The sequence below is a fragment of the Homo sapiens genome, chromosome 9 (assembly GCF_000001405.40).
Source record: "Homo sapiens chromosome 9, GRCh38.p14 Primary Assembly".
Classification (NCBI taxonomy): Eukaryota; Metazoa; Chordata; class Mammalia; order Primates; family Hominidae; genus Homo; species Homo sapiens.
Window position 1 is genome coordinate 34,468,890 of NC_000009.12, and position 27,080 is coordinate 34,495,969.

The 27,080-nt window shown below is 45.1% G+C and overlaps 1 protein-coding gene and 1 pseudogene across 2 annotated transcripts in view, besides 4 other annotated features; both read left to right on the plus strand.

The window, feature by feature from the left end:
• DNAI1 (dynein axonemal intermediate chain 1) overlaps window positions 1-27,080 on the plus strand; it is a 62,180-nt gene that overhangs the window by 10,085 nt on the left and 25,015 nt on the right. Inside the window, exons 2-9 of one of the 2 annotated variants that reach the window (NM_001281428.2) lie at window positions 14,559-14,591; window positions 16,253-16,351; window positions 16,548-16,628; window positions 20,434-20,560; window positions 21,111-21,235; window positions 21,480-21,599; window positions 22,606-22,665; window positions 24,305-24,439. In NM_001281428.2, coding sequence (NP_001268357.1) covers window positions 14,559-14,591; window positions 16,253-16,351; window positions 16,548-16,628; window positions 20,434-20,560; window positions 21,111-21,235; window positions 21,480-21,599; window positions 22,606-22,665; window positions 24,305-24,439 — 780 coding nt within the window. The remainder of the gene's footprint in view (window positions 1-14,558; window positions 14,592-16,252; window positions 16,352-16,547; window positions 16,629-20,433; window positions 20,561-21,110; window positions 21,236-21,479; window positions 21,600-22,605; window positions 22,666-24,304; window positions 24,440-27,080) is intronic. The other variant, NM_012144.4, reaches the window with a different exon arrangement.
• Window positions 9,733-10,016, plus strand: RN7SKP24 (RN7SK pseudogene 24; annotated as a pseudogene).
• Window positions 13,552-14,054: an enhancer, noted in NCBI's record as "H3K4me1 hESC enhancer chr9:34482439-34482941 (GRCh37/hg19 assembly coordinates)". NCBI's record gives its function as "activates a minimal SCP1, AML or CMV promoter by ChIP-STARR-seq in naive H9 embryonic stem cells {active_cell/tissue: H9 hESC(naive)}" and the evidence as "EXISTENCE:reporter gene assay evidence [ECO:0000049][PMID:30033119]".
• Window positions 25,062-25,356: a silencer, noted in NCBI's record as "tiled region #5304; HepG2 Repressive non-DNase unmatched - State 10:DNaseD, and K562 Repressive DNase matched - State 9:DNaseU". NCBI's record gives its function as "represses a minimal TATA promoter and a strong SV40 promoter by Sharpr-MPRA in HepG2 and K562 cells {active_cell/tissue: HepG2 | K562}" and the evidence as "EXISTENCE:reporter gene assay evidence [ECO:0000049][PMID:27701403]".
• Window positions 25,062-25,396: a biological region, named in NCBI's record as "Sharpr-MPRA regulatory regions 5304 and 15183".
• Window positions 25,102-25,396: a silencer, noted in NCBI's record as "tiled region #15183; HepG2 Repressive non-DNase unmatched - State 10:DNaseD, and K562 Repressive DNase unmatched - State 9:DNaseU". NCBI's record gives its function as "represses a minimal TATA promoter and a strong SV40 promoter by Sharpr-MPRA in HepG2 and K562 cells {active_cell/tissue: HepG2 | K562}" and the evidence as "EXISTENCE:reporter gene assay evidence [ECO:0000049][PMID:27701403]".

Genomic DNA, 27,080 nt, shown 5'->3' on the forward strand with positions numbered 1-27,080 from the left:
TAATAATAATAAAAGAGAGGGCCTTTGTGAGCTATGGAATATATTATATATGTATTTGGAACATGGGTGTAGTTGGAATGCCAGAGGGAAAAAGAGGAAGAAAAAATATTTGAAGAAATAATGGTCAAAAGTTTTCTGAACTTGGTGGAAAACATATAGGACTATCAGAAACTCAGTGAGCCCCAAGCAGGATAAATACAAATAAAACCACATCTAGGTCTTTTATAGTCAAACTACTGAAAACCAAAGATAAAACTAAAACCTTGGAAGTAGCCAAAGAAAAATGACAAATTGCATACAGGGAAACAATTATATGAATTGTGGTTGACTTCTCACCATAAACAATGTAGGCCAGAAGACAATGGAATGGCTTTTTTTTTTTTTTTTTTTTTTTGAGACAAGGTCCCACTCTGTCACCCAGGCTGGAGTGCAATGGCATGCTCACAGCTCACTGGAGACTTGACCTCCTGGGCTCAAGTGATCCTCCTGCCTCAGCCTGCCAAGTAGCTGGGACCACAGGCATGCACCACTAAGCCCAGCTAATTTTTTTTTTAATATATAGAGACAGGGTCTCACTATGTTGCCTAGGCTGGTCTTGAATTCTTGGGATCAAGTGATCCTCCTGCCTCAGCCTCCCAAAGTGCTGGGACTACAGCACTTTTTTTCTTTCTATTAATTTTCTTTTTGTTGTTGTTTTTGGTTGTTTGAGACAGAGTCTTACTCTGTCGACCAGGCTGGAGTGTAATGGTGTGATCTCAGCTCTCTGCAACCTGTGTCTCCCAGGTTCAAGCAATTCTCTTGTCTCAGCCTCCTGAGTAGCTGGGATTGCAGATGCTCACCACCATGGTGGCTAATTTTTTTTGTATTTTCAGTAGAGACAGCGTTTCACTATGTTGGCCAGGTTGATGGCAAACTCCAGGCCTCAAGTGATCCTACTGTCTCGGCCTCCCAGAGTGCTGAGATTACAGGCGTGAGCCACTGCGCCCAGCCCTTCTATTAATTTTCTTAAAAGACAGATGACTGTTTAAAGCAAAAAACAAAACAAAACCATTATTGTCAAGTAGGGCTTACACTGTATACAGAAATAAAATATGTGACAACAATAGGGGAAAGGATGAAGTAGTGGTGGTAAATAGAATTAGCATGTTATGAGATTATTACATTGTGAAGTGTGAAGTGATACAATATTTATTTTTAGTAGACTATGATAAGTTCAGGATGCATATTGTAACCCTTAGAGCAACCACACATGCACAAAATACAAAAAGGCACATATGAAAAGCCAATAGAGAAAGCAAAATGGAGTACTAAAAAATTTCAGTTAATACAAAAGAAGGCAGAAGATGAACAGAGAAACAAAAGCAGATGAGAAAAACTAGAAAACAAAGAGCAACATGGTAAAGACCTCCAATTAAGAGGCAGAGTTTATCAGGCTAGGAAAAAGAAAAAAACAACTATATGTTGCCTGTTACAAGAAATATATTTTAAATGTAAAAACATAGAATGTTTGAAAATAAAAGAATGGAAAAATAAACTAAGCAAATGGAAAGCATAAGAAATCTGTATGAGTATCATTATCAGACAAAGTAGTCTTCAAGACAGGAAGTATTCCCAGAGATAAATGGGGACATTTTAAAATGACAAAGGGTCAATTCAAGAGGGATACATAAAATCACAAAGTGTATGCCTCAAGATATAAGAATCAAAAGAACTTCAAGATGTAAGCATCAAAAAATGACAGAACTAAAGGGAGAAGTAGAAATATTCATAATGATAATTTGATATTTTAACATTATTCTCTCAGTAGATCTGAACAGTGCTGTTAACCAACTTGACCTAATTAACATTTATAGAACACTATACTCAAGAACAGTAGAATGAAAACTACGCCCAAGAACTGCAGAATTTTCACAAGGATGAGCCATATACTGGGACATAAAATAAGTTCAAATGCATTTCAAAAGGTTAATATCTTACAGTTTAACTTAATTCAAATTCAACATCCATCCTTGCCAAAAAAGAATCTCAGCATATTAAGAGTAGTTTGAACAAAATAGAAGTAAATAATATCTTCAAAATCTCTGGGTATTTAGAAATTAAAGAATACTTCTGAATAACCTATAGGTCAAGAAAATCATAAGGAAATTAGAAAATATTTTTAATTGTAATGAAAATAAAACATAAAAATTGTGAGGTGCTGCTAGAATTGTGCTTAATAGAAAGGTATAGTTTTAAACGCTGTATTAGAAAAGAAAGGCTAAGTGTGGTGGCTCATGCCTGTAATCCCAGCACTTTGGGAGGCTGAGGTGGATGGATCACTTGAGCCCAAGAGTTCGAGACCAGACTAGGCAACATAGTGAGACCCCTTCTCTACCAAAAAAAAAAATTAGCTGGGTGTGGTGGCATTTGACTGTAGTCCCAGCTACTTGAGAGGCTGAGGTGGGAGGGTCGCTTAAGCCCATGAAGTAAAGGCTGCAGTGAGCCATGATTGTGCCACTGCACTCTGGCCTGGGCAACAGAGTGAGACCCTGTCTCTCCTGGTCCCCAACCACCACCACAAAAAAAAAAAAAAAGAAAAGAAAAGGAAAGTTTAAGATCATCCAGGCACAGTGGCTCAAGCCTGTAATCCCAGCACTTTGGGAGGCCGAGGTGGGCGGATCATGAGGTCAGGAGTTCGAGATCAGCCTGGCCAACTTAGTGAAACACTGTCTCTACTAAAAAATACAAAAAATTAGCCAGGCGTGGTGGTGGGCACCTATAACCCCAGCTAGTCAGGAGGTTGAGGAAGGAGAATTGCTTGAATCCAGGAGGCGGAGGTTGGAGTGAGCTAAGATCAAGCCATTGCACTCCAGCCTGGGCTACAGTGTGAGACTCCATTAAAAAAAAAAATCAAAGTATTTCTTCATATTAACAGGATAAAGAAGAAAAAATCCTATAATGATGACATCTCAATAGATTCAGAAACAAAAACATTGACAAGATTAAACATCCATCCACAAAAGATTGTTATAATGATCAAATAAGATAATGTACTCCAAAATGTCTAGTAAACTGAAAGATGCTATATAAATGGAAGTATTTTTATTGTCATCCTTCTGCTGTGACACCCTGAGATGCACAGGCTCCTTTCTAATAAGATTTCTTGGGATCTGGAAAACATACTATTCAATTATTCATTCTAAGCCCTCAGAATGGAACTCAATTGCCTTGCATGGCAGACTGCATGGAATAATAAAAATAATGACAGCCAAAATGTCTACATTGCCACTAGTACTTGAGGGCTTACTTTATGCTGGGCTCTGTGTTAGTGCTCTTCATACATTATTTTATTTTATACTCACAGCAATTCTATGAGGAGGGCACTAATATTTTTCTCCCCCTTACAGATGCAGAAATGAAGTTTAGGGACTAAACGCCTTGCTCAACGTCTTACATATAATTCGTAGCAGAGGCAGGTATCCAGCAAAGGCTTACTCTAGAGCTCCAGCTTTTAAATCCGATACTTTCTGGCCTTCTGCAGCCTTATCTGGGAAGGGTCCTATATAATTGGCTTCTGCCCTCCTGTGTTTCCAGGGAGGAATGGGGCTGGTCTTGTATTCTCTTTTCCAGCATTCTGAGCACTGTGCTAACACTGCATTCATAGGAAAGAAAAATTTATCATGTTGATTTTTACATTCTTAATTAGCATTTGAAATTATAAAAGTAATGCATATTCACATTTAATACATTAGGCTGGGTGCAGTGGTTCACGTCTCTAATCCCAGCATTTTGGGAGGCTGAGGCAGAAGGATCACTTGAGGCCAGAAGTTTGAGACCAGCCTGGGCAACATAGTGAGACACTGCCACTACAAAAGATTTAAAAATTAACTAGGCCTGTTGGTACATGCCTGTATTCCTAGCTACTTGGGAGGGTGAAGCAGGAGGATCCCTTGAGCCCAGGAGGTCACAGCTGCAGTGAGCCGTGATTGTGTTGCTGCACTCTAGCTTGGCGATGGAGTAAGACCCTGACTAAAAAAAAAAAAAAATTATGACGATGAGTATATAACAGTATTAGTCCCCTTCCCCACAATTCTGTAGTCACACTGCATGCACAAAAACCACTGTCAACAGATTCTATATATTCTTCCAGAAATTTTGTATGTATATGCAAATACACATATACACATATTCTTAAAGTAAACAGATGGGGCATCTATTCCTGTAACTTGCCTTTTTATTTGACAATATGCCTTGGAGAGCTTTCCATAGCAATACATAAAAGTTTACTTCATTCTTTCTACTTTATTTTTTCAACAATATACTATTTTTAATTGACAAAATTGTATATTTATCATGTAAAACATATTTTGAAATATGTATACATTGTGGAATGGCTAAATCAAGCTTATTATTATTATTATTATTATTATTATTATTATTTTGAGACAGAGTCTTGCTCTGTCACCCAGGCTGCAGTGCAGTGGCACGATGTCAGCTCACTGCAACCTCCGCCTCCTAGGTTCAAGCAATTATCCTGCCTCAGCCTCCCGAGTGGCTGGGATTACAGGTACTTGCCACCAGCCTGGCTAATTTTTGTATTTTTAGTAGAGACAGGGTTTCGCCCTGTTGGCCAGGCTGATTTCGAGCTCCTGACTTCAGGTGATCCACCCGCCTTGGCCTCCCAAAGTGCCGGGATTACAGGTGTGAGCCACCATGCCCAGCCAATCAAGCTAATTAACGTATGCATTACCTAGCATATTTATAATTTTTTGGGGTGAGAACACTTAAAACCTATTAGCAATTTTCAAGAATACAATATATTGGTTGGTTGGTTGGTTGGTTGGTGCGTGGGTGGGTTAGTTGGTTGGTTGGTTTGAGACAGGGTTTAGCTCTGGTGCCCAGGCTGGAGTGCAGTGCGTGATCACAGCTCACTGCAGCCTTGACCTTCTGGGCTCAAGTGATCCTCCCACCTCAGCCTCCCAAGTAGCTGAGACTATTGGTACACCCCACTACACCTGGCTAATTTTTAAAAATTTTTGTAGGGACAGGGTATCTTGCTATGTCACCCAGGTTGGTCTCGAACTCCTGGACTCAAGCATTCCTCCTGCCTAGGTCTCCCAAAGTACTGGGACTACAGGCATAAACCACCACACCTGGTCCAATACATTGTTATTTACTATTGTACGATAGTTATTCTTTTAAAAATATGCATAACATCCCATTGAATTGCTATAATTATTTTGTTATTTATTTACCTAGACTCCTATTGGCGAATATTTGTGTTTTTCCATTTTAAAAAATCACAAATAAAGCTGAAGCAAGCAATTTTGTATATACATCTTATTCAGGTGTGACTATTTCTTTTTTTTTTCTTTTCTTTTTTTGAGACAGGGATTTGCTCTGTCACCCAGGCTGGAATGCAGTGGCTCAGTCTCAGCTTACTGCAGCCTCTACCTCCCGGGCTCAAGGGATCCTCCCACCTCACCCTTCTGAGTAGCTGGGACTACAGGCATGCAACACCACGCCTGGCTAATTTTGTTTATTTTTTTGTAGAGATGAAGTCTCACTATGTTGCCCAGGCTGGTCTTGAACCCCTGGACTCAAGTGCTCCTCCTGCCTTGGCCTCCCAAAATGCTGGGAGTACAGGCATGAGCCACTGCACCCAGCCTGAGTTGTGACTATTTCTTTTTTTTTTTTCCTTTTTTTTTTTTTTTTTTTGAGACAGAGTCTCCCTCTGTCACCCAGGCTGGAGTACAGTGGTGCAATCTCGGCTCACTGCAACCTCCGCCTCCCGGGTTCAAGTGATTCTCCTGCCTCAGCCTCCTGAGTAGCTGGGATTACGAGCATGTGCCACCATGTCCGGCTAATTTTTGTATTTTTAGTAGAGACAGGGTTTCACCATGTTGGTCAGGCTGGTCTCGAACTTCTGACCTTGTGATCTGCCCGCCTCGGCCTCCCAAAGTGTTGGGATTACAGGTGTGAGCCACCGTGTCCGGCAAGGTGTGAATATTTCTATCAGAAAACTCAAGAAAGTGGAGCCATTGAGTTGAGGGGTATATGCATTTTAAACTTTGGTACACATTACAAACTTTGGTACAAAAAGTTTGCATCAGTTGGCACTACCACAACAATGTATGTGTGCCTGTTACCCTGCATAGACCACTATTCAAAGTTTTAATATTTTCTTCAACTATAAACACTTATTGAGTGCCTTCTGTGTGCTTTAGACACTGCACTAGGCTCAGAGATTTAAAATGTATTCAGTGTAGCTGGAGGAAGATTTGTTGGTGAATTGCTGCTGTTCCTTTGGGACTAAGAGCTTTTAACCTTTTAGAAACGGAAACGGCAAGCTGGTGAGGTATTTAGTTTCAATTTAGCTTAATGGAAACCTGTTAGTGAGTTTTAAAATAAGGACCAAGACAACTGAGATGGTAAACGAAGTCTCCTGGGCCCCAGGAAGGAGGATGCAGCATCTGTGGGTTTGCATGCTTTGAAGAGCCCCTCTTTCCAGGAACAATCATGTTTCAGCATTGAACTCTTGAGCAGAGATGTGAGCTGCTGAAATCTAGTCATCCCTAAGGCAGGTGCTTCCTAGAAGGCAAAGGGCCACACAGATCCCATGTGACTGACAGCAGAGCAGGGTCTATAAGTGGGAAGGTAATGCTGTCAGGCATCATTTATTGGGCACACACTCTGGCCAGTTGCACATAAAGTGCACCACACTATGCACCTTATGTGTGTTGTTGACTCATTTAATCCTCATAACAAGCCTCTGATTGTCTGAGGGTGCCATTATAATGCCAATTTTTAAAATGAGGATACTGAGGTTCAAAGAAGACAATTAACTTGCCTGGGGTCATAAAACTATTAGCAGGTAGCAGAGTGGGGACTCAAACCCAGCTATGGTTGACTTCAAAGCCCACACTTGGGTTCCATGGCTCCATCTGATCACATACTCATTTTTAAAATATTATATATTTATGGTAGAGAACAGCTTAAGAATTTTTTATCTCCTTATTTATCACTAAAATACGCTCAGGGACAAATAGATCGCTTACATTGTTCAGTGGGGTCATGAACCAAAACAGGTCTAAATGCAGGTAAATGACCAGTAGGTGGTAATAATAATTATCTCTTACATTGACAGAATTTTTGTTTTCAATGTATCCTTCCATTGACCATGTCATTTGATCTGAACAATTCTCAGTGTCCTTGTCTTTAAAAGGGGAACAGTTTTACCTACTTTGCAGGAAGGCTGTGAAGATTGGGAATAATGACCGTACAATGCCCAGCAAGGTGCCTAGCTATTAGTGAGTGCTCACTAGATTACAGTTAGGGATGGTGATGGTAATCAACTGGTCTCTGCCTCTCTCCCCTCCCCTAACCCCGCTGCAGATAGTACTAGGTTGATAGACTTCAAACATCTGCCCTTGGTGTGTCACTGCTGTACATGAGAATGCCTCTTTCCAACCACCTCATTCTCTCTCAGCTCCTCTCCACGGCTTTCCAGACTTCTTTGGGACTTCCTCTCTGCCCTTTGGCTTCCTCAAGTGTTCCAGGACAGACCGAGTGGGGCTGCACTGGAAGCTGCTTATGGAAAAAGACAGTCCTTAGGGCTGGGCCAAGTTAGGAGGGGTGTTAACTTAAAGATCATCCAAAAGTGTGCTAAGCCAAGGAGGTGATCCAGAGCTGTGCTAGAAGAACAAGGGGGTTAAAGGCCCAGAGAGGTGGCATCTTGAATGAGGTAAGGGGACCCATGCAGAGGCTAGCCTGACAGAAGGGTGGCCAGACATCATGGTTGGTAGTATTGAGGGAAGGGAGAAGGATGCTCGGCATAGAGCAGTGAAGTTAGATGGTCCATGGAAGAAATCCTGTGAACCTAAGGAAAGAGAGGAGGCATTTTATTTGGGCAGCTCCCTTCTAAATCAGCCACTATCACCTGTGTGAGGCTTGGGGCATATCTAACCACTGGGCACACAGGCTCAGTCCCTCTGCTTACATGGCTCTTTCCTACATAAGCTTAGGGAGAATTGTACGTGACTGAATGTGGCTGTAGGAGGGGAAAAGTAGGAGATGAGGTAGATGCCATGTTCAGGGGCTTGGGCTTCATCTCATGGCGGAGGGTGGGCTCTTGGAGGCTTTATTTTATTATTTTATTTTATTTTGAGACAGGGTCTCGCTATTTTGCCCAGATTGGAGTGTAGTGGCACAATCATAGCGCACTGCAGCCTTGAATTCCTGAGGTCAAGCAATCCTCTTACCTCAGCCTCCCAAGTAGCTGGGACTACAGGCACACACCACCACACCCAACTAATTAAAAAAAATTTTTATGTGGAGATGGGGTGTGGCTTCGTTGCCCAGGCTGGTCTTGAACTCTTGGAGGCTTTAAATCAAGAGAATGACACAATCATATTTATGTTTTAGGAAGATCATTTGTAGATAGTGATTAAGAGTTTGGGTTCAAATCCTGGTCAACTTTGGGTCAGTTGCTTGATGTCTCTATACCTCAGTTTTCTCATTTGTAAAGTAGGAATAATGATAGTTCATACTCCATATGGTGGTTGTGAAGATTAAATGAAATAATGTGCATAAATAGCTTAGTAAATGACCGGCCCAGAGTAAGTTCTCAGTAGCAGTAATTATAATGATATAATCATTAGAGTAGAGAGAAACTGGAGTCAGGGAGATCAAATGTGGTTAGGCAAAAGATAGTAAGGGCCTGAAATAAGGAGAGGATTATTAAGAAAGATATTAAAGAAATAGAATTGTTAGGCTTTGAAACATAATGCTAGTGAGAGGGTGAAGAAAGGGCAAATATCTTTAATGGTTCCCAGTTTCCAACCTGGGTGACTAAATGGATAGTGGTACACTTGAGTGAGAGGGGGAATCCTGGAGGAAGTGGCAGTTTAGGGTGAAAAAAGAACATAATGAGGTCAGTTTTAAAGATATTGAGTTTGAGTACTCTGTCATCAATTCGAATATGAGGTTCTGGGAAGTCTAAGCTGCAGAAATAGATCTGGGGAGACCAAGACCCTGTCTCTCTCTCTCTCTCTCTCTTTTTTTTTTTTTTTTTTTTTTTTTAGTCTCAGCTCACTGTGACCTCTGCCTCCCGGGTTCAAGTGATTCTCCTGCCTCAGCCACCTGAATAGCTGACGTTACAGGCGTGCACCACCATACCCGGCTAATTTTTGTATTTTTAGTAGAGATAGGGTTTCACGATGTTGCCCAGGCTGGTCTCGAACTCCTAGCCTCAAGTGATCCGCCTTTCTCAGCCTCCCCAAGTGCTGGTATTACAGGCGTGAGCCACAGTGCCTGGCCACGAGAACTTGTCTCAGGGAAAACAAATAATAAAAGTAGATTTGAGCTTTATCATAAGGTGGAAGATGAAAGATGAAGCTACAGGTGGGGATAAGAGCATTCAAGGGGAGGGTGTACAATAGGAAGACCAGAGGGTCAAGCATATATCCCTGGAGAGGTCAAGGATATTGAGGAGCCATTGGAGAGATCAGTGACATGGAAAAGAAGGTAGAGAAGTTTCAAGAAGGAGGGAGGGAGCCCTCAGCAATGTCAAGTCCTATAAGAGAACTGAGAAGTGACCACTAGGCAGCTGAGTTGTGACTGGTGACTTTTATAAGAGCAGTGACCTCCATCCAAATGCTAGCCTCTGTGCTAGTGATCCAAAGACGAATAAGACTCAGTTCCTGCTCTCACAGTGCTCACACTGAAGTCCACAACAAGAATGGAAAAATGCTCTGCTGTGAAAGAGTTCAGGCTGAGACATCTGTTATCCCATTGATCCGCAGGGCTAAATTGTCTGCCACGGTGGGCTGGGAGGGTTTCCTCTCCCTGCTTCACTCTTTCATAGACATCTTCCCTTGGCCAAATAGAATGGCCTATCCAAGAGAAGAGGACCTTCTTTGGTCAATAGCATAAGAACGCCAAGCTGCCTCCTATGTGTACTGCAGTGTGATGCTTCTTTTCATAACACTATTCCCTTCTGTAGACCAGACCCAGAGACTAACAGAGTGTCTATTTACGTTTGATCATTCAGTACTTGTGATGGAAGGTGGAGGGTAGCCTTGCTTAAAGTGAGGAAAGGAAGAGTAGAGGGAGGTAGGAGAAAGGTGGGAAAGGAAAAGTTAGATAAAGGACTAGCAGAGGCTAGTTGGGTAGGGTTTTGTTAGGCAGAGATAGTGGAAGCAGGGAGAGGAAAGGGGAAGATGGCATTCCTGGCAGAGGAGTGGTAACAGCAAAGGTGGAGAGGTGGGAAAACACAGGCCAGGCCCAGGGACTCGCTGGACTGCACCTCGGAGTCCTAGCACATGAGTGGTAGAACGGTTGGAATGGAGGCTTGGGGCCAGATGATAGAATTTTGAGGGCTAGGGGAAGAGTTTGAGCTTTCTTCTGTAGCTTGATAGCTTCTAGGAGGAACCATCAAAGGCCTTTCAGGAATTCAGGCTTGTCTGTCTCAGGCTTCTCATTCTGCAAGACCAAGGGCCCAAAGTGGCAGCCTGACATTCTATCTCCTTTGCCATGGTTGGGAAGTTAGGGCTGTAGCTGATTTCATTGGCCTGTTTTGCATTTATTATAGTGTGGCTTTTATAGTGTGTTAATTGAAATATTTCCAACTGCCAAAAACAATTACACTCAAATTGCCTTGTCAGTTCTTTTATTGCCAGATAAATGTTTTACAGACATATTTACAGGGGGCAGCGGTAACTGGATCTCGTTTTCTATTTAAGGCTTGTGGTTTGGGTTGGGATTGGCCCTCCTGTGCTCTATTGTGAGCCTGAAAGTTGTTACACGTTGGGACGCTTCCATCCCATTACCTTATGGATCAGAGGCTCTCCAAAGGAAAGTAGCTCTCTGGCTCGTGTGGCTTAGCCTCAGAGAAGGGTTCCCATCATTGGAAACCTTGGCAACCTGACAGCTATTTGAATCCTGCTGCCTGCTCTATCAGCAACAATCCCAGCCCAAGATGAGACATGCTTTTCTCTTTCCCTGGAATTCCTTTCCTCCCTTCCACCCTCCAACCCTCTCCCAAAGACCCTATCATGCAAGAGCTGCAAGAGCTATAAGTGCCCATCTAGTCTAACTCCCTCTCTTTGCATTTGGGAAACTGACTCCCCTCTCTTTGCATTTGGGAAACTGAGGCTGCCCCAAGATCACACAAGTGGTCAGTGACAGAGCTGGAAGCAGGGGTTCCTTTCCAATGTGCCATGCTGCCACCAACGTGTGCCCTTCAGCTCTTCTGCTGCATTGAACCCTCCTGCAGTGCACTAGGCCTGCTCCTTCCAGGAGCCCCTCCCTCACGTCTCCAGTCCCCTCATATGCTTGATCATCTGAAACACCTATTTGTTCTGTATATATACTGTGGGATTTTTGTTGGTTTGTTTGGTGGAACTTTTTTTTTTTTTTTTTTTTTTTTGAGATGGAGTCTCGCTGTGTCACCCAGGCTGGAGTCCAGTGTGCGATCTTGGCTCACTGCAACCCCTGCCTCCTGGGTTCAAGCGATTTTCTTGCCTCAGCCGCTTGAATAGCTGAGATTACAGGTGTGTGCCACCACACCCGGCTAATTTTTGTATTTTTAGTAGAGACAGGGTTTCGCCATGTTGACCAGGCTGGTCTCCAACTTGTGACCTCAGGTGAGCTGCCCACCTCAGCCTGGGATTACAGGCATGAGCCACCGCGCCTGGCCAACTTTGTACATGATGTTTTCTTCTGAAAAACATTTTCTCCACCTAGACAATGCATACTTGTCCTTTGACATCCAGTTAAGAAATCGTCACCTTTGGCCGGGTGCAGTGGCTCACATCTATAATCCCAGCACATTGGGAGGCTGAAGCGGGTGGATCACCTGAGGTCAGGAGTTTGAGACCAGCCTGGCCAACATGGTGAAACCCTGTCTCTACTAAAAAATACAAAAAATAGGCTGGGTGCAGTGGCTCACGCCTGTAATCCCAGCTTCTTGGGAGGCTGAGGCAGGAGAATTGCTTGAACCTGGGAGGTGGAGGTTGCAGTGAGCTGAGATGGTGCCACTGCACTCCAGCCTAGGCAACAGAGTAAGACTATCTCAAAAATAAATAAATAGGCTGGGCGTGGTGGCTTACGCCTGTAATCCCAGCACTTTGGGAAGCCAAGGCAGGCGGATCAACTGAGGTCAGGAGTTCAATACCAGCCTGGCCAACCTAGTGAAACCTCATCTCTACTAAAAATACAAAAATTAGCCGGGCGTGGTGGCAGACGCCTGTAACCGGGAGGCTACTCGGGAGGTTGAGGCAGGAGAATCGCTTGAAACCAGAAGGCAGAGGTTGCAGTGACCCGAGATTGTGCCACTGCACTCCAGCCTGGGCGAAAGAGTGAAACTCTGTCTCAAAATAGTAATAATAATGTTTTTTTAAATCTCTTTATTGCCTGGTACAGAGATGAACACTTAGAGTATGCTTTAAAAATATTTGTTGAACCAGTTGCAAATAAATTCCCAGTGCTAAGTTACTTGGTCGTGATCTTCATGGGTCAGTCCCACTGATGCTGAAACTGGGTTGCCTCAGATATAGGACCTGTCTGGCTGGGCGCAAAAGAATATGTTGCCTCTGAGACTGTTTCTGAAACTTGGGAAGGCTCAACCTCCTTTTGTGTCTGGAATTGGTGGGTTCTTGGTCTCACTGACTTCAAGAATGAAGCCGCGGACCCTCGCGGTGAGTGTTATAGCTCTTAAGGTGGTGCGTCTGGAGTCTGTCCCTTCTGATGTTCAGATGTGTTCCGAGTTTCTTCCTTCTGGTGGGTTCGTGGTTTCGCTGGCTCAGGAGTGAAGCTGCAGACCTTCACGGTGAGTGTTACAGCTCTTAAGATAGCGCGTCTGGAGTTGTTCGTTCCTCCTGGTGGGCTCGTGGTCTTGCTGGGCTCAGGAGTGAAGCTGCAGATCTTCACAGTGAGTGTTACAGCTCATAAAAGCAGCGTGGACCCAAAGAGTGAGCAGTAGCAAGATTTATTGCAAAGAGCAAAAGAACAAAGATTCCACAGTGTGGAAGGGGACCCGAGCAGGTTGCCAATGCTGGCTCGGGCAGCCTGCTTTTATTCTTATCTGGCCCCACCCACATCCTGCTGATTGGTAGAGCCGAGTGGCCTGTTTTGTCAGGGCGCTGATTGGTGCGGTTACAATCCCTGAGCAAGATACAAAGGTTCTCCACCTCCCCATCAGATTAGTTAGATACAGAGTTTCCACACACAGGTTCTCCAAGTCCCCACCAGAGCAGCTAGATACAGAGTGTCGATTGGTGCATTCACAAACCTTGAGCTAAACACAGGGTGCTGATTGGTGTGTTTACAAACCTTGAGCTAGATACAGAGTGCTGATTGGTGTATTTACAATCCTTGAGCTAGACATAAAGACTCTCCAAGTCCTCACCAGAGCAGCTAGATACAGAGTGTCGATTGGTGCACTCACAAACCTTGAGCTAAACACAGGGTGCTGATTGGTGTATTTACAATCCCTGAGCTAGATATAAAGACTCTGCACGTCCTCACCAGAGCAGCTAGATACAGAGTGTTGATTGGTGCACTCACAAACCTTGAGCTAAACACAGGGTGCTGATTGGTGTGTTTACAAACCTTGAGCTAGATACAGAGTGCTGATTGGTGTATTTACAATCCTTGAGCTAGACATAAAGACTCTCCAAGTCCTCACCAGAGCAGCTAGATACAGAGTGTTGATTGGTGCACTCACAAACCTTGAGCTAAACACAGGGTGCTGATTGGTGTATTTACAATCCCTGAGCTAGATATAAAGACTCTCCACGTCCCCACCAGACTTAGGAGCCCACCTGGCTTCACCTAGTGGATCCCCCACCGGGGCTGCAGGTGAAGCTGCCTGCCAGTCCTGCGCCTTGCGCTCGCATTCCTCAGCCCTTGGGTGGTCGATGGGACTGGGCGCCGTGGAGCAGAGGATGGTGCTCGTCGGGGAGGCTGGGGCCGCACAAGAGCCCATGGAGTGGGTGGGAGGCTCAGGCATGGCGGGCTGCAGGTCCCGAGCCCTGCCCCGTGGGAAGGCAGCTAAGGCCCGGCGAGAAATCGAGCGCAGTGCTGGTGGGCCAGCACTGCTGGGGGACTCAGTACACCCTCCGCAGCCACTGGCCCGGGTGCTAAGTCCCCCATTGCCCGGGGCCAGCAGGGCTGGCTGGCTGCTCCGAGTGCGGGGCCCACCAAGCCCACGCCCACCCGGAACTCCAGCTGGCCCGCAAGCACCGCACTCAGCCCCGGTTCCCGCTGGTGCCTCTCCCTCCACGCCTCTCCTTCCACACCTCCCTGCAAGCTGAGGGAGTGGGCTCCGGCCTTGGCCAGCCCAGAAAGGGGCTCCCACAGTGCAGTGGGGGGCTGAAGGGCTCCTCAAATGCCACAAAGTGGGAGCCCAGGCAGGGGAGGTGCCGAGAGCAAGCGAGGGCTCTGAGGACTGCCAGCACGCTGTCACCTCTCACTTTGACTGTGAGATCCCTGGGCAGGAGCCTCCCTGAAATACTGTTTATGATATTTCCATGTCAATTTGCTTATGACTTACCTTCTGTTTTCTGTTCTTCATTTAGAGCATCAGCATAGGCAGAGGAACCAGGAAGAGAGTAAGTGCTGAGACTACCATGGTCTCTCAGCAAGATGCTAATAGTGTTTTTTTTGTTGAAAATATTATTTATGTGTTTTTAGAAAATGCAAATGAACTAAAAGAAGAATGTTAAAATCACCCTTAAACCTACCACCTTATAATAACTTTAGTTAACATGTGATGTTACATCCTCTCAGATATTTTTATGCATATATAAAATTACATGTATTTATTATTTTTCTTTGGAGGAATAAGAGAGATATATTTATTTTTAAGTGGAACCAAACTATATATGTTATTTTATAACATGTTTTTCACATAAAATATTTAGAGTGCCTTCCATTGCTAATAAATATATTTTTATAGCATCATTTGAAATTACTACATAATATTTTACCATATGTTCCTTAAGACTGTACCATAATTTGTTCAACCATGCCTCATTGGTGGACATTTAAATGCTTCCTTTTTTGGCTGGGTGTGGTGGCTCACTCCTGTAATCCTAGCACTTTGGGAGGCCGAGGCAGGTGGATCACTTGAGGTCAGGAGTTCGAGACCAGCCTGGCCAACATGGCGAAACCCCATCTCTACTAAAATACAAAGATTTGCTAGGCATGGTGGTGCATGCCTGTAGTCCCAACTATTTGGGAGGCCGAGGCAAGAGAATTGCTTGAACCCAGAAGGTGGAGGTTATAGTGAGCCGAGATCGTGCCGCTGCACTCCAGCTTGGGTGACAGAGAAAGACTCCATCTCAAATAAATAAATAAAAATAAATAAAAATAAATGTTTTCTTTTTCACTGTTATTATAAATCCTCTAACATCAGTACACCTAAATCTTTGGGCATATTCCTTAATATAAATTCCTACATGTACAAATTTGGGTAAAAGAGTATAAACAGTTATTAGGCTTTGATAAATATTTTCCAATTGATTTTTAGAAAGGTTATACTAATTTGTGAGTGCTCATTTCCCTACAGCCCCATGAATGCTGGATATTCGTTTTGGTTGTTTTATAGTTTGCCAATTTTATAGTGAAAAAATGCATTGTTTTATTTTGTATAATTTTGATTGTTAGTGAGAGTGAACATTTAAAAAAATATATCATGGGCCACTTTGGCAACATGTTTAAGTGTCTACCAGGGAAAGGCAAACCTTCTAGTCCTTGATTTTTTTGCTCCAAGGACCTAATGGGACTGTGAGGCTTAAAATAACTAAGTACAGAGAGTATTGAGTAACCTTAAGGTGGTAGTTGGGAAGATAAAATATAAATTAGAGTTGAAGTAACAGCTTATTATCCTTTCTTGATGTCTAAACCACTTTGCATAAAGCCCTGCCTTTGGCTGTTAGTCCTAAACATTAGCTTCTGGGCTTTACAGAAGGCAGTAGGGAGGAACCAGTTCTTCTGGTCCCACTACTGGGGCCAGAGGCCTACCACAACATTCCAAGTTCCAGCTAAGCCTGACCCCCAGGGCAGAGGTGGCCAGGATCTTCCAGGCAATGAGAACTCTGGCCTGAGCAGTTCTTTTGGACTCTTTCATGAGTGGTATGTTATACATTTTGTATTCTACATACAAGGGGCAGAGCTTGGCTTCTGGGAGTGTTTGTGAATGAAGGGGCTTTCTGTATGCTTGTCCAAGCAGAAAAGACACTCCCAAGCCTCATGTGAGGTTTTTGTCTAGGATGAAGATTCAGGGACTGAAGTGGGAGAAGGCACAGATGAATGGGCCCAATCCAAAGCCACAGTTAGACCCCCTGACCAGCTGGAGTTGACCGATGCGGTGAGTGAGTAGCCTCTTGTTCTTGCTCCTTGTACCTCTTCCAGTTTCGGAGATGTGTTCTTCCATAGTACATGATTAGGAGCTTGCCCAGAACCTGGGTGTGAGATGTCTGCTGATACTCTGAGGGATCCTTCTAAGCCTCAGATAGGGTTGGGGGGTCTTCATGTATGACCCTCTTGGTATTTTTCTCCCTCAGGAGTTAAAGGAGGAGTTCACTCGGATTTTGACAGCCAACAACCCACACGCACCCCAGAACATTGTCAGGTACAGCTTCAAAGTAAGTCATCCCCTCCTGGGCAGGGGCATCTATACCCATCTCCTTGGAGTGACAGTGACTTGCTACATTGCAAAAGCCTCTCAGTAATTCTAGAGGAGAGCACTTTTAAACTGAGGTCCTTGGCTAGAATCCTCAGATTTCATATGGAGTTTTCTAGAAGTTTTTGAAATTTCTTTATGAATCTCCCTTGCAGTCTTGCTGATTGTGGTCTTAAGTGTCCTGCAGAGCCAGTCTTTTCAAGAATCTTGAAATGAATCATTTGGTTAGAAAAATGCTTTTCTGATATATGTAACACATTTTTCACTAACATAAACTATTGAGTCTTCAAAAGCTGAGTTTTCCTCTAGCCAGCCATCTGGATGGAGTACAATTTCCCTCTAGACAAAAGGAGCTGGTCTTCTCCCCTCCCCACCCCCAGCCCCACTGGAGAAGTTCTAGCAGGCTCCAGTCTCAGCGTTTCTTGACATCACCGCCAGACAGGCCGGTGACCTCCTCAGGGCCCTCCTTTAGTACACATGGCGTGGGTGGGTAAGTTCTGACCTGATAGACACATATTGATATGCCTATATAGGGGACAATACTCTTTTCACTCATAGCAAGGTCAGCTCCTGTGGTTATGAACTGAAGAGAATTTCCGAGTACATTTGAGCTGCAGTGGAAGGGGTGCATATGTTTCCTATTTCGTTATTCTGAGACCCATTTGTTCCATGCTTACTGTGTGCCAGTGTCAGGTCCTATATTAGGTTTTTTACATAAAATATCTCATATAATCCTCCCCTTTCTTTGGTACAGGGACTATTAATATTCTAATTTTATGAAAACTTAGATTAAATTAGATAAACAAATTACAAAAGTTACATGACCAGAATTCAAAGCAAGATTTCAACTAGTTTGTCTGACTCCAAAGCAACATTACATTGCTTCTTTAAAAAAAATTTAAAATATATATGTGTATAATATTTTGAAAATATAATAGAAACCTATGGTACAAATTTCAAAAGATTCAAAAAAAATGAAAACACAGTCAAAATGAAACCTCCCTCTCTCCCCGTCCTCTTTCCTGAAGACAAGAAGAATTTATTTTTTTGTTTTTTTGAAAATTTTATTGAGATTTAATTCATATACTATACAATTCACCCACTTAAAGTGTACAATTCAGTGGCTTTTAGTACATTTATGGGTTGTACAATGACCACCACAATTTTAGAACATTTTCACTTCCCCGCAAGGAAACCCCAAGCCACTTAGCTGTTCCCCCTCAGTCTTCCATCCCTTCCAGCCCTCAGCAACCACTGAACTATTTTCTGTTTCTATAGATTTGCCTATTCTGGACGTTTCATATAAGTGGAATTATACACCATGTGGTCTTTTGTGACTGGCTCGTCTCACTTAGCATGATGTTTTCAATTCATGTTGTAGTATGTGTCACTACTTCATTTCTTTTTATTGCCAAATAATATTCACTTGTATGAATATACTACATTCTATTTATCCATTCATCAGTTGATGTTCATTTGAATTGTTTCTGCTTTTTGGCTATTATGACTAATGCTGCTATGAACATTTGTGTGCGAGTGTTTGTGAAAGATTAGTTGAACACACTGCTTCTTATTTAAGATTGTGTAGTCAACCACTACACAAAGAGGCTGAAACAAATCCAGAAATGTTTCTTTTTTTTTTTTTGAGACTGCGCCTCGCTCTGTCGCCCAGGCTGGAGTGCAGTGGTGGCACAATCTCGCCTCACTGCAAGCTCCGCCTCCCGGGTTCATGCCATTCTCCTGCCTCAGCCTCCCGAGTAGCTGGGACTACAGGCGCCCGCCACCACACCCGGCTAATTTTTTGTATTTTTAGTGGAGACTGGGTTTCACCATGTTAGCCAGGATGGTCTCAATCTCCTGACCTCATGATCTGCCCGCCTCAGCCTCCAAAAGTGCTGGGATTACAGGCATGAGCCACTGCGCCTGGCCCCAGAAACATTTCTTGAAAGGTGCTACTTGTGAGTTTTGCGAATGGCTTCCCTTGGGAAGCCCGAAAAGGTCAGAGGGAAGCTGCCTTATCCTCCCTGATGTTTTGCTGGAGCACAGTACACTCTATGGGCTCCTGTTCTTCTGACATCTGAAAGAGGACCTCTGTAGGACTCAGTGTGCTGACCATGGGAAGCACACTACAGGCAGAGGACTGGCATTGCCTTGTCAATTTCAACGTACTCTTCTTGCCCCTCATTTAGGAGCCCAAGTCTTCTGGGAAAGCTCACCTTACCCAACCTCCCAATAGCCTCCCGTGACTGGTGGCATCTTCCCACAGAACTAGTTTCCATCTCATTGGTCCTGAAAGAGCTTTAGGTCCCCAAAGCTGCTACTTTCCTTTGATGTGGTGGAGTAGAGAGGTAGATGGTTCTGATCTAGGCATGCCTTCCCTCCCCTCACAGAAGCAATGGAGTCTGGGTTTCATTCCTAAACTGAAGAGGAAGATCCCAGTCAACTACTGGGGACAAGATGAAGGTGAAATCTCAAATGAAACTGTAAGGGTAATTTATTCCTTGGGAATCTTCATCATGAAAATAGTTACTATTTTATTGAACATTAATATTGAGCATTTATTATGTGTCAGACACTGTGTTAATAGGTTGTTTTTATTATTTTTAATACTTATAATTATCATGCAAATTAGATAGTATTAGCCTTCTTTTATAGATGAAGAACTTAGGGCTTAGAGTGGTTAAGCCCAAAGTCATGAAGATAAGAAGCAGCAGAATAAAGATTCAAACCCAACTCTGCCTGCCTCCAAAGACCATGCTCTTAACCACTGCACTGACTTGTCTTCCCATACATCTGAGTTACTGAAAGAAGAAGGGCTCTGTGGTGACTTTTAAATACAGAGCTTCCCAACCTGTGTGATGGCGATCCTTCCAGCCCTCCAGGGGCAGGGAGATCTGTGCAACTGGACCCCATGAACTGGTTTCCTCTACTGTGAGTTTACCGTAGTGTGCCATACAAACATAGTTTCTATATGGCTTGAAAAGGGTTTGCATATCTGTTTTAAAAGAAGGAAGAGATCTCCGGTCTCTAAGTCAATTTTAGTGGTTGCAAGGGTGCTGATCAATGAGGAGGCTATCTGCAGGAACCAGACTACAAGCTCTGTGAAATAAGGGATTGTGTCTACTTTTTCTCAGCTTTATATCCCAGGCACCTGGAAAATACTTGGCACATTGAGGCTGTTCAAAAATTATTTCAAGAATGGATGAACAAAATGACCTGGGCTGTAAGCCTAATCCTGCTTCTCATTTGCTGTGTGACCCGGACAAATGCCAACCCATATCTTTTCTGGAATTCCATGGTCCTCTTGTATGGAACTAGGGGATTGGGGTTGTCTCTGAAGATCTATCCAGCTTTAGAATCCACTAAGTACAGTGGAGAGAGGGTTATGCCAGGTGTGTTTGATGACTCTATCTGCCCAGGGTATGTGGTATGGCAAGTGAACTTGAAACCCTTGGCATGGAAGTAGGAGACAAGACATATAAGCCAGTGATAGGCAAATCTGGAGCCACTTGAGGTTGGAAAGGCAAGGTATTTTAAAATAAATCCTTGATGATAACTTTAAAAAAGATTTTATTTCATTTGTCTTCTCTTCCTTTTCTTCTTTAAACTGAAATGCAGTGAAAACTTCAGATTAACTGAGGATTTGGTGAGTTACATTTCCTTTAACAAAGATGGACTGTCTTTGATCTTAGAGAATGAAAGCAGATTACATTTTGACTCCAGCTCTTTTAGGGATCCCTGGTCTGACTCAGCCCCTCTCTTCTTAGGAAGGCACATATAAGCCTATTGGCTTTGTGAACCAACTGGCAGTTCACTACACCCAGGTTGGGAACCTGATCCCCAAAGACTCAGATGAAGGACGGCGGCAGCATTACCGCGATGAATTAGTGGCAGGTAGGACTCTGGGCCATCCTGAAGCTACAGCCCTGAGCCTGTTCCCCTTATTCTGGTCACTCTAGGGAGTATACCTCTAAGCCAGAACTTTTCAGAGCTTCTGCTAACATAAACTCCAGGCCGGGCAGGGTGGTTCTTGCCTATAATCCCAGCACTTTGGGAGGCTGAGGCGGGCGGATCATGAGGTCAGGAGATCGAGACCATCCTGGCTAATACAGTGAAACCCCGTTTCTACTAAAAATACAAAAAATTAGCCGGGCGTGGTGGCACTTACCTGTAGTCCCAGCTACTCGGGAGGCTGAGGCAGGAGAATTACTTGAACCTGGGAGGCAGAGGTTGCAGTGAGCCGAGATTGTGCCACCACTGCATTCCAGCCTGGCGACACAGTGAGACTCTGTCTCAAAAAAAAAAGCCCAATAGCTGGTTGTCCTGAATAGGTCAGGGAGCTAACCCATGACACTCAGGCCAAGGAAAACCCCAGGCAGAAACCAAGAAAGCCCTCCCTGCCACAGATTGGGAGAGCAGGCTTAGACTTTGAACTCATTGGCAGTATCCTACCAAGGTTCTCAGGAGTCTGTCAAGGTGATTTCAGAAACAGGAAACCTCGAAGAAGACGAAGAGCCCAAGGAGTTAGAAACTGAGCCTGGGAGTCAAACAGATGTGCCTGCAGCTGGGGTACAGTATAATATCGCTCTGTGTCCCTCTTCTTCCAGCTCAAGCTGTGGATGGAGGCTTCATGGGTAACTTGGGAAAGGAGGAGGGAGACCTAAGGTGAGAATAGAGGCTGCAGGTGCCAATGTGTCTGGCAGCATCACTCTCTCCTACCTCTGTCCTATCCTAGGACAGGGCTTGCCCCATCTCCCGGTTTTCTACCACCTTCTCACAGCTGATTCCTGATCCTCTGGGTCTTTATTTTCAGGCAGCTGAAAAAGTGACTGAAGAAGAATTGATGACTCCTAAGCAGCCCAAGGAGAGAAAGCTCACTAACCAGTTCAACTTCAGTGAGAGGGCCTCACAGACCTACAACAACCCTGTCCGGGTAGAGCAGCCCCCACCCTAGCCCCTTTGCAGCTCTTCACTGTGCCTGGCAGGGAAGAAGCAGGCCTGACCCTGGCCCTAGCAGACCTCAGCCTGGCAGGGGTGACAGGACAACAGATGCTACAGCTTATCTCCCCAAGGAGAGCTGAGAGCATGTGTTCAGGTCTCTGTAAGCTATCCAGGCAGGAGTTTAGAGGGAGTAACATGGAGGCTAGAGCTCCCAAAACTCCACTGGAAGGCTTCAGCTGGATCTGAGCTTTGTAGAGGGGTAGAAATTAGGACTTGGGAGGGGAGGGGAGGCCACAGTGTGTTCAGGGAACAGGAGGCCTAGGAGCCAGTTCAACTGAAGTTGATGATCTCTGTGATAGACCAGCTGGCAAAGGCCAGAAAGTTCCCTGACTCAGAGGCTCTTGAGAACCAGGCTGAGGGAGCCTCTCAGCGTTTCAGGTGAGAGACTCACACGTAAGGGGAGGGTTCTACAGAAATGAATCTACAGATGGAGGGCGAGGTCTACAGGGTGAGTTTTTGACAGTGCCTCATCACCCTGTGTGGTCCCTATGCTAACATTTGGTAATCTGGGTGATACAGAATGGGAAGGGGGCCCATTCCCCTGGTGGAGCCAGAGACCCTCATATTAGAGAGGCCTTCTCAGGGCAAGGGGTGTTAGTCTGATGGCCTGACAGAGGCTGACCTCTATGCCCTGGCCTGGCATCCTGCAGGTCTGTTCATCCCCCACTTAGACTGTATCTTGGTTAAAATGGGCACAGTCAGGCTTCCCTGCCCCTGCTTTCTAGCTTATACTTCTTCTGAAGGAGGCCAGAATGGACACAATATGGGCTTTGAATGCATCATTCAGTTATTCACCCAAGCCCCTCTTTACTTCCCCAGCTCTGTGTCCCAAACCTCCATCAGCCCCAGCCAAAATGCTTCTCTCAAAGATATACTGTTGGATTAAGTGAGAAGGAGTTGAGGGCTTTTTGTGGGTCTCCTGTTGTCTTGTTCTTTAGGATCGAGAATGCCAGACGGAGCCTCCTCCCAGGACAAACTTTTCAGCCACAGCCAATCAGGTAAGACCCTGGGCCAGCCTGAAACCTCTTACCACCCACCTCTATGTATCCTTTCCTCATTTAGCAGCAAAGGCAACACTGGGTCAAGGGCTCCTCTGGCAGTCTGCCCTCCTCATCTACTTGCCTCCCTGCTCACTGTCCTGAGCATCCAGGCTCTGAACACCAGGCACATGAGACAGTAGGTCCCTATCCAGTGAGCTGTGGGCCAGCCACGTGACTCAAGGGCAAGGTTGTGCAAGCTGGAAACAGGCATGGCTTCTGGATGGAGCTTCTTCCATGACCAGGGGAGAACATTTGCTTCGATGGACTCTCTGGAACCTGTGGCACCCTGTGACTCTGTGACTGACTCCAAAGTGTTAGCACTCTGACCCTGCCCTCCCAGCAGCCTTCAGTGTTCCTGCAGCCCCCCTCCTCCCCCTTCAAGTCCTCCTGGATGGCCACACTTATTTGAACAGGATATGGTGCCAGGAGACCTGATCTCAGACCTCACATTTTCTGTTCATACTTTAAGATCCTGAGCAAACCATGTCACTTTTAATGCCTCAGTTTCTTTCTCTCTAAAGAGAGGATGACAAGCTGCCTCACAGAGTTGTTGGAGGGTCTGAATGAGATAACAAAGATTAGAGTACTTTGCAATGTGGAATAGGAGACTGGGGGGGAGTTATTAAATGTAAGGTTTGCTTATCTGACCTCCAGGTGGCAGTGACTTCCCAGCTCTAGGGAGCACACGGTGTGATGAGGGGCATTTGCCCAGCCCCAGATCCTTGCTGCTTCCTCTGCTACTATCCTTGGGCTTCTCTTCCTGTCAGATCCATTTAGCAAATGTTCCCTTACCTTTTGCTTATCTCCTTTTAATGCTGAGATGTGGTCAGTGCCATAGACAGCCAGCCCGAGCCAGTATGTTTATGCCATGTCCGGGGTGGGGGTGGGGATATGAAGATATATATATATATATATATATATATATATATATATATATATTTGAGACAAGGCCTTGCTCTGTCACCCAGGCTGGAGTGCAGTGGCACGGTCTTGGCTCACTGCAACTTCTGCCTCCTGGGCTCAAGCGATCCTCCCACCTCAGCCTGCTGAGTAGCTGGGACTACAGGGGCATGCCACCACACCTGGCGTATTTTTGTATTTTTTGTAGAGATGGAGTTTTTGCCATGTTGCCTAGGCTGGTCTTGAACTCCTGGGCTCAAACAATCCACCTGCCTCAGCCTCCCAAAGTGCTGGCATTACAGGTGTAAGCCACTGTGCCTGGCCTATTTTTTTAAATGTTCTAGTTCAGAGTCTTTTAAATCACCAACAAAAATGGGAACTAGCCTGATGTTTGCCCATTTGTTCTGCCTGCTGGGGGCTGCATGCTAGAACAATGTTGATCTTCAGCTGAAGACCCAGCCTCTGGGTTTCAGGGTATGTAAGCCCAGCCCAGAGATGTCCTTAGAACTCTTTCATTCTTGTTCCAGAGCTGATAGTAGGGAAGACAGGTATTGAATACCTAATTCCAACAGGCCAAGTAGAAGATGCTTGTTGCCAGGGTTAACATGACCAATTCCTTAAGTCTTGAAGGCTGAAAAGAGCTGTCTGGGTAAAGATTGCACCTTACAATGATCCTTCTTATCTCACCCTTGCCTAGTGGGAGATCTATGATGCCTATGTAGAGGAACTTGAGAAGCAGGAAAAGACCAAAGAGAAGGAGAAGGCAAAGACCCCAGTGGCTAAAAAATCAGGGAAGATGGCCATGAGGAAGCTGACATCTATGGAGTCTCAGGTTTGGTGTTAGTTCCTACAGCTCTGCCACAGAATTTCTGAATGAGGCCTTGGCCTCTGGGTAGACAGAAGCCTGGCTGTCTGGGAGGGGTTCACAGATACTTAAATCAGGGACTAATGTTGAGATATAAATAGTTCTTTCCTTAGGGGAAGATGTGAGGAGAGCTACAACTGCCTCTAGCATTCCATACCTCCCCCCAGTAAGATAGATCTGGAGGCTAGCAGTATTTCAGAATTATTGAGCTAGAGGGTAACAGAAGACATATTCCTTATTGAAAGCACTATATGCCTTCTGGAAGAGCTGGGGAGTGTGCTCAGGTGGGGGTGGGATGTGAGGATAAGGCACCACTTCCCTCGGCAACGGCTTATAGGATCTGGGAAAGTGAGATGTTTTTTCACTTTCAGTACTTGGGTTTACTTATGTCCTATACTGTAGGTGAATCTTCAGGGCCAGGAGCCAGATCAGAGATGATCATAGGTACCATAAATGCTAGGCCAATGGATTTGGCCACCCTGGGCTAGATTTTCCATGAAGAGCCATGTAGAAGTCATTATAAAGGTCATGGTTGAGGGGGGCTCACTGTGGGTCTAGCCAGCACAGGTTTGGGGAATCATCGTGGGAGTCACAGTGATGCAACTATAGGGAGTCACTGAAGGGAGGGTCGCCACAGGGAGACGCTGAAGGGCCACATTTGTCCCTTTAACAGACAGAAATCTGGATCAGGAACCAGAGTCCCATTGTGGATCAGGATGGGTTTGACTTGCAGTGGCGTGGGAGGGACAATGTCCACAGGAATCTGGGGGCTGGTTTTCAGCACCTCGGAGAGTTCCCATGGCTGCTCTCGGGGAAGTGGTTCTGCTCCACTCCAGAATTGAAGCTGGACCAGATAAAGGAAGTGCTGCTTCCTATGCCTGAGATGTGTCCACTCTCGCTTAATTCTGTTTCATTATCCTGATCATGTCACATTTTAGGGGAAGTTTGAGGGTACCCTGCCTTGGCTTTATAGGAACTGTCCCAATGCTGTTTTATTCAGTCACTGACCAAGTACCTAGTGATCATGGCCGTGCGGGTACTGGAACTCTGAGGTGAAAGATGGAGCCCCTGCCCTGCTACTCTGTGCAGACCCTTGGCTTCCCCTGATCCATTCTCTAGAGGTTAGAGGCTTCACAGGGGCCACTGGCCTAGGTCAGGGTTCACATGAAGATCCATCAGGGGTTATAAGCTCTGTACTGGGACCCATGGTTGCAGAAACCTCAACTATAATCACCAGGATCTAGAAACCAGAAGAAAAGTCCCTGTGACTGAGACTAGAATCTGACCTGTGTCTTCTAAGCCTTGCAGAGTTGGTGTCTAACATCCTCAGGGATGAGGGACCATCTCTCTCCATCACACTGGACTCTTCCAGCTTAGCTGACTTGGAAGACTATGGTACAAGCAGATTCCAGCCCTCTGGACCAAGAGTCCACATGGGAGGCAGGACACCCTCCCCCAGCCCCACCTAGTGAATGCCTTGGTGTGCACCCTCTCCCCAAGGCAATAATTAGAAATCCCAAGTACTGGGCCAGGCTGTCTGTGCAACACAGTGGGAAAGGCAGTCACCTTCCCCATTGCCCAGGCCCAGTGGTTGAACAGAGTGACACCCCTTCCTCAAAGAATGGGGTCTGATTATGTGGGTAGAAAACTCAAATGTGCTGGAGGGGAGAAAAGATAAAAACTTCATGATATCCTATAGGAAGGGCCTCCTTGGTGGACCTCAGGTCTCTGTCTCATTAGTGATTTGAGTGAATGCACAGAAATCAATGCACATTTGTCTGATCTGAATAATTAGGTAGGAAAGGAGGAAAGGGCTCACAGGCTGCAAGTTCAGTGAGAACTAATAAAGATGTGTGGCTGCTCCAGTAGCATAGTATCTGGGACAAGGGAGGTGACAGCCCACAACACTCTCCTCAGAACACAACTGGAAACCTGCATCTCCCAGGGCCAGGAGAGGAGTGGTCAGACTGGGGAGGCACTGGCTCACTGTGTGGGTCTGAGAGCATGGACCCTGGAACCTACAGACCTGGATTTATATCCTGGCTTTGCCATTTGTTAGCTCAGTTTTTCTGAAACCTCAGTTTCTTCATCTGTAAAGATACCCTAATGATACCTACTTTGCAAGATTTTCATGAGAACCCAAGATAATACGGTGCAGCCCCTAACATAACACTTTTGTGCTACTGATCAATAAATGGTAGCTATTGTTATTGATATGCCATTTCATGACTGATGGAGCTGGGAGGAGTCACCCGAGGAAGTGCTGACTTGAGGGCATGTGGCTGTGTCCTCCTACCTCAAAGGAGCTCTCACCAAGCATCCAATTCCTTGTGGCCAGAGGACAGAGTTGGGCCCATAGGTAGAAGATGCAGGGAGGGAGTTTCAGTTAACTGGCTATCTGGCCACAGAAAACACTGCCTGACCTGGGGAGAGTCACACTTACCAGGAAGCTGCTAAGGGGAGAGGATTCCTGCTCTGGGTCAGAGAATAGAGAGCGTAGCTGGAACCAGGTGAACTCTGAGGTCCGTGACTGCAAGACTCCAGTGAATGCCCTTCTTGGTCAGTTTTCAAAGATAAACTTGGAGTCTCTTTCAGGCGTGGCAAAAGG